Source organism: Homo sapiens, chromosome 4, assembly GCF_000001405.40.
Source record: "Homo sapiens chromosome 4, GRCh38.p14 Primary Assembly".
Lineage (NCBI taxonomy): Eukaryota > Metazoa > Chordata > Mammalia > Primates > Hominidae > Homo > Homo sapiens.
This window is the reverse complement of record NC_000004.12, coordinates 53,890,710-53,897,258: the sequence shown is the minus strand read 5'-3', so window position 1 is coordinate 53,897,258 and position 6,549 is coordinate 53,890,710.

The following is a 6,549-nucleotide window of genomic DNA, read 5'->3' as shown; positions in this document are numbered from 1 at the left end:
AAAAGCCACAGAAACACAACAGTTCCTTGTGCATGGGCCTTCCACCTATATTATGTCTTGGAAAGATGGATGGATATTAGTGAACCATTGACGTGTTCCCTATAAAACATTTATTTTATTTTATTTTATTATTTTATTATTATTATACTTTAAGTTTTAGGGTACATGTGCACAATGTGCAGGTTAGTTACATATGTATACATGTGCCATGCTGGTGTGCTGCACCCATCAACTCGTCATTTAGCATTAGGTATATCTCCTAAAGCTATCCCTCCCCCCTACCCCCACCCCACAACAGTCCCCAGAGTGTGATGTTCCCCTTCCTGTGTCCATGTGTTCTCATTGTTCATTTCCCACCTATGAGTGAGAATATGTGGTGTTTGGTTTTTTGTTCTTGCGATAGTTTGCTGAGAATGACGATTTCCAATTTCATCCATGTCCCTACAAAGGACATGAACTCATCATTTTTTATGGCTGCATAATATTCCATGGTGTATATGTGCCACATTTTCTTAATCCAGTCTAGCATTGTTGGACATTTGGATTGGTTCCAAGTCTTTGCTATTGTGAATAGTGCTGCAATAAACATACGTGTGCATGTGTCTTTATAGCAGCATGATTTATAGTCCTTTGGGTATATACCCAGTAAGTTAATTTAATAGTGGGGTGAGAAAATATTTTCACAACTCATTCAGTGGGTATTATCTTTGCTTACATCCTTGTTTATATCTATATTGCTATATAAATACAGCTATAGAATATTTAAGAGCATAAACTCTGGAATCAAATAGACCTAGAGTCAAATCCTGACTCTGCCTTTTTCTAAACAATTTCGATGTTATTTAACTTCTGTGGCCTCAGTTTTCTCATCTGTAAATAGGGATAACAGTAGGATTTTATGATTATTGTGATGATTAAATGAGCTAATTTTTTAAAGTGCTTAGAATGTGCCTTAAACATTAATATATGCCCATAGTGTGATAGATCACATTTTTCTGTATTGATTTAAAATTTTTCCCAATGATAGAAATAAATCACATTAAACATAGTATATTCAGACAGAAGTAATTTTAAAACTAAATCCTGTAGGGCGTTAAAGATTTTTAAAAATGTCTGATAGCATAGTTTTGTGGTTAAATGTGGGTGTTGGCCTCACAGAGATTTGGATTAAAGTTCTAGTTTTCTCACTTATTAGTTGAGTAACTTTGAGAAAATTATATAATCTTTAAAGCCTCAGTTTATAAAACAAGAGTTATAATTTTACCTTCCTCATTGAATTGCTTTGGGAATAAAATGAGATCTTGTGTGTAGAGGGATTGGCACAAAGTAAAAACTTAATAGATTGTAGCTCTTATCATTATTTGGCTTTGCTCACTTTGGCATTAGAATTTGGGCAATAATTGTGAGGCAAAGTCCACCTAAGTAAAGCAACTATAACTATCCCTGAAGTGGTTCTTTAATTTAAGGACGTTATGAAGCTGACAAAAATTTTGTTGAAAATTGTTAATGTTTAAAAGATGCACCGTCTCCACTTGCCCCTCACCAAGGAACAAACAACCCCTCCAAAAACTGGTTCTAGGACAGCCTGGATTGCCAGTTTGGGGGACATGCTGGCAGATCCCACTTTGTCTCAGGCCATGTATCATTAGGATGTCTTTGCCTAATATCGGTTTTAAATACTGATTCCAGAAAGTTCTTAGACTTTGAGTTTAGGTTTGTTAAACATACAATCTTTAAGTACTAAGGTTTATTTATTTATTTATTTATTTTTAGAGACAGGGAACTTGCTTCGTTGCGCAGGCTGGTCTCAACTGCTAAGTTTTAACCAATGTTTTATTTGGAAGGCATGGATTCATTTACCATACTTTTCTAAATGCACCTTCTTCCCTTGGCTGTTGAATACCAATGACTGTTTATACAGCTGTCTCTCTGCCCTGCCTGACTTGTTCTGTACCTGTGCATTCTTAAGCCACTCGACTTTGCCAAGATCATTTAAAAATAGCATTTTTGGTGTTTTCTTGCAATAGGGAGGGCATTTAACTTTTTGTGGGGGTGCAAAAATTCACTTTTTGTGGGAGTCAAGGCAAAAATATTCTCCACCCTTGGGTGGTTCATTTCTCTTCTCAGAAACACAAACATCCATTGTAACCTTTTCCTTACTCCTATAGTTCAGGTTGTTTCTGCTTAATCACTTAATGTTTAATTTCCAGTACTGCTGCAGAAAACGAAAAAATGCAAGAAAAATAAGAGATAAAAAATCACTCCCCTAAGAAAACACCCGTCACATTTCAGTGGGTTGTCTTCTGGTCGTTAAGATTTTATTCCCCTTTCTTAATACAAAGTAGACAGCATACTCTTTCCACAGTTTCTTTACTGCTTCTTTTTGCTGGACACTATAACAAGCATTCCTCCATGATTTCTGAGATCTTTTTGTAGATATAGGTAAAATGACCTTTCGTGGGTTTTCTCTTATTTCAAATATGAAACATATTATTTATTAACATTAGAAAAGCTCAAATAAGAAATCCACTAAAACCATGCATAATTTCACTACTCAGAGACAACCTCTGCTAATGTTTTGGTTCATTTCTTCCTGTATTTAGATTATCTGTGTTATAGATCTACATAGACAGCATATTCTATATACCATTTTCAACCTGTGCTATGTTTAAAAATATGTTGGTTCATATTTTAAAATAAAGACATGGCATTCTACAAATATGTACATAGAATTCCCTCTTATGGATGATTTTATTTTTAAACAGTTTCTTATTGTTGGACACTTAATCTTATTTTATTGCTGGCCTTGCCTTTAAATTGCTACCCAATGGCTCAATGTGTCTTGATAGTACTTGCTGTCTTCTGCTTTGTCTCTACTTTGAGCCAGGAGTACCTTTAGGCCAGAGAGGATTCCTGAGTTGCTTTTAGATCTCCAGCCTGTTGTCCAGCACTTAACGTACCATCAGCACTATAAATATTAGCTGGATAAATAAATCCTTTTTAAAATTTTTTTTGAGATGGAGTCTTGCTCTGTCACCCAGGCTGGAGTGCAGTGGCACTATCTCGGCTCACTGCAACCCCTGCGTCCTGGGTTCAAGCGATTCTCCTGCCTCAATCTCTGGAGTAGCTGGGATTACAGGTGCATGCCACCATGCCCAGCTAATTTTTGTATTTTTAGTAGAGACAGGGTTTCACCATGTTGGTCACGCTGGTCTCGAACTCCTGACCTCATGATCCACCTGCCTTGGTCTCCCAAAGTGCTGGGATTATAGGCATGAGCCACCGTGCCCAGCCAATGAATTCTTACAGAGCTCGGATTACCTGGGAGACCCTATCCTCTATAGTATAGAGTTTATGAAGTGTAGAATAGAAATGGGGTTACTTACCTTGAGGGTTCTGGGGTTGAAATTAAGTCTGTTCTCCACCCCCCAACCCTGTTTGATTTTCCCCGAGTACCATGCAGTTTAGCACATGTTTACTTTTAAATTACGGACTAGTGGGTGTGTGCATCTTTCTGACCATGAGGATCATAGTTAATTCTCATTATTTGGGGAAAGCATTTTGGAAGAGGTGACATGAGGTCTGATACGGTTTTGATGTGTTCACCAAAGTTCATATGTTGGGAACTTAATCCCCAGTGCAACAGTGCTGACAGGTAGGACCTTCAAGAGGTGATTAGGTCATCAGGGCTCTGCTCTCATGAATGGATTAATGGAGTGGATTAGTTGTTGTGGGAGTGGGTTCCTGATAAAAAGATAAGGTCGGCTCTCTCCCTCTCTTTTTCTGGTCCTCTCTCAACTTCTGCCTTCCACCACGGTATGATGCAGCATGAAGACTCTCATCAGATGCATCCCCTTAACCTTGAACTTTCCTGCCTCTAGAACTGTAAAATTTTCTCTGTAAGTTACCCAGTCCATGATATTCTGTTATAGCAGCACAAAATGGACTAAGACAAGGCCCCATAGTGGAAAGAACTCTGAATTTGTAATACAAAGGTTAAGTTTGATTCACTTGCTCAGCACTCAGCTTTGTGATCTTAGGCAATTCATACAACCTTCTAGGCCTTGGTTTCCTTCTTTATCAAGTGAAAATATACTAATTCTATACATTATTTTTATGCATGCAGAGTTGTTGTGAAAAGCCAAGTTCTATAGATGTGAGTAAGGTAAGGTGGTACAAGAGTAGTTGGGGAGAGAGAAGGAGGTCTTTTGACCTCATATTCACAAATTGTCTCAAATTTAAATTTTAAAAAATTATACACACACAAGCATGTTCATATAATATCTATGTAATATAATTGCATTGTATTGCATTAGTATATGTATGTTAAAGGTAATAATTTGTTAAGTATATATACTTTTTGAGATGGAGTCTTACTCTGTTGCCCTGGCTGGAGTGCAGTGGTGCAATCTTGGCTCACTGCAACCTCCACCTCCTGGGTTCAAGTCATTCTCCTCCCTGAACCTCCTGAGGGACTGGCAGTACAGGTGTGTACCACCATTCCCAGCTTATTTTTGTATTTTTAGTAGAGATGGGGTTTCACCATGTTGGCCAGGCTGGTCTTGAACTCCTGACCTCAAGTGAACCCAAAATGTTGGGATTACAGGTGTGAGCCACCACACCCGGCCAAATGTTTTAACTGTATCGTAATTTTTGTAACCTTCTTTTGGCCTTTCCCTGCTTCACTTTGAGGATACCGGCAGCCTTAGCCGAAGGAGGTGGCCTAGGTCTCCTGACCTGCAGGAAACCCTGAATGCCAACGCATGTCGTAAACTGTATACCACTCTGAAAATGCTGGAAACAAAATGGGGAAGGAGGGGTGATGATGGAGAGAAGACAGGAAGATTCTGAGGGACAGGCTCCCTAGTGTTGTTTACTTTAAGCTATTCCAACTGGAAGAGTTGGTGAAGTGTTAGCAACAGATAAACATTTTAAATGTCCTTCTTTCCCCAGACAGAACATTACTTTCCAGGCTTTTGAGTGAACGAAATTTTCAGAGTCAAAATTTTGGGACAAAATAGCAAAGGCAGTGAAATACTCCCAGGGAATCATTTAGGACCCTGTGAAATTACTAACTGTAATGGCGACAGTGTTACTGTGGATGAACTCTGCTCCTGATAGCATTCTGCAGCAGACCCAAGGTCAAGGGTTTTTCTTCTGAATTTCTATCCTAAACCCACTTTATAATATCATTTATTGCAAGGGAAAGTTTGTATCACAAAGCTCATACAGTTGCAGTTTCAAGTTTATTCATGCGATCAGAAAGGAAGTTGCCTCACGATTTAGAAAGGCAGAAACAAGCATTTTACCATCACATAGTATTTTATAATGGGCCCGAGTTAACAATCCTGCCCCTTCATTTATGAAATGTGGGCCTCAGCCCTCTCACATTTTGAATTTTCCAGGGCAGTTCTGGTTTTCAATCTTCTGTTCTGGTGGATCACTTATGGACATTGGTTTACATTAGGACTTCGCATCCTGATTTTTGGTTCTGAAGATTTGATAGTGATGGCTGTGCCCCTTTTTGCGTGGAAAGGAGAGACCATTTCATCTGAGCCCCTTCCCTCAGGCAACTATCGATCTTCTTCATCAACTAAGTCACAGTTCTGAGGCTTTCAAACTTGTTCCAAAAGAGGAGGGCCTGAAGCCCATGATCCTCTTTGTAGAACAGTCCTCATAAGATGCTATCATATTTTTAATTAGAAATGCATTTAATAGTGTAAACATGGCCCTCATATGCAATTTTTAATCTAAAAAATAATAGCATATAACATGGATTTCATAATACATTAGTGTAAATTACTAGTTTAAGCCACTTGACCAACTCTCTTCAGGGTCCTCTAGGACCTCCCCACCGGCCGGCTTTCCCCTGCTGAGCTGACCTCTTGCAGGTGATTAGCAGCAGCCGACACAGTTGGTAACTCTCTCCTTGGAGTCTTTTCTTCTCTAGGGTTAGGAGCACCACTCTCTTGGTCTGTCCCTCTCATTCCTGGCTGCCCCATGCCAGCTCGAAAGAGTCCGGTTCCACTGCTGAACATGGGAAGGCAGTGATCTTGGAAGCAGCTACACCTTTCTCTGGAAGCAGCCAACTTGCCCTCCTTGCCTCTGCTCAGGGCTCTATAGATGAAACGGGAGATGGTCCAGTAACTCTTCAGTTCTCAGAGCCCTTTGTAGGTGGAACGATCATAGGCGGGTCTGAGTCCTATTCCATTATGTCACGTACCTGCTTGCACCCTCAGTCTCCTCTTTTGTAAATGGGAATAATGCTTATTCCAACCTTATTTGTTTGCTGTGAGGGTTAAATGCTATTAGGCAGTTGTTGTCATTAGGGGTTGATTTTACCTGCCAGAAGACATTTGGCAATGTCTGGAGACATTTTTGGTGTCCCAATGTGAGCGGGTTAGGATAGAGAGGCTGCAACCGGCATCCAGTGGGGAAAGGCCAGGGATGCTGCTACAGATCCCACAAAGCACAGGACAACCCCACACAACAGAATTAACTGGTCTAATGTGCCATTAGCGCCGAAGCTGAGAAACTCTGCTCTAAGGC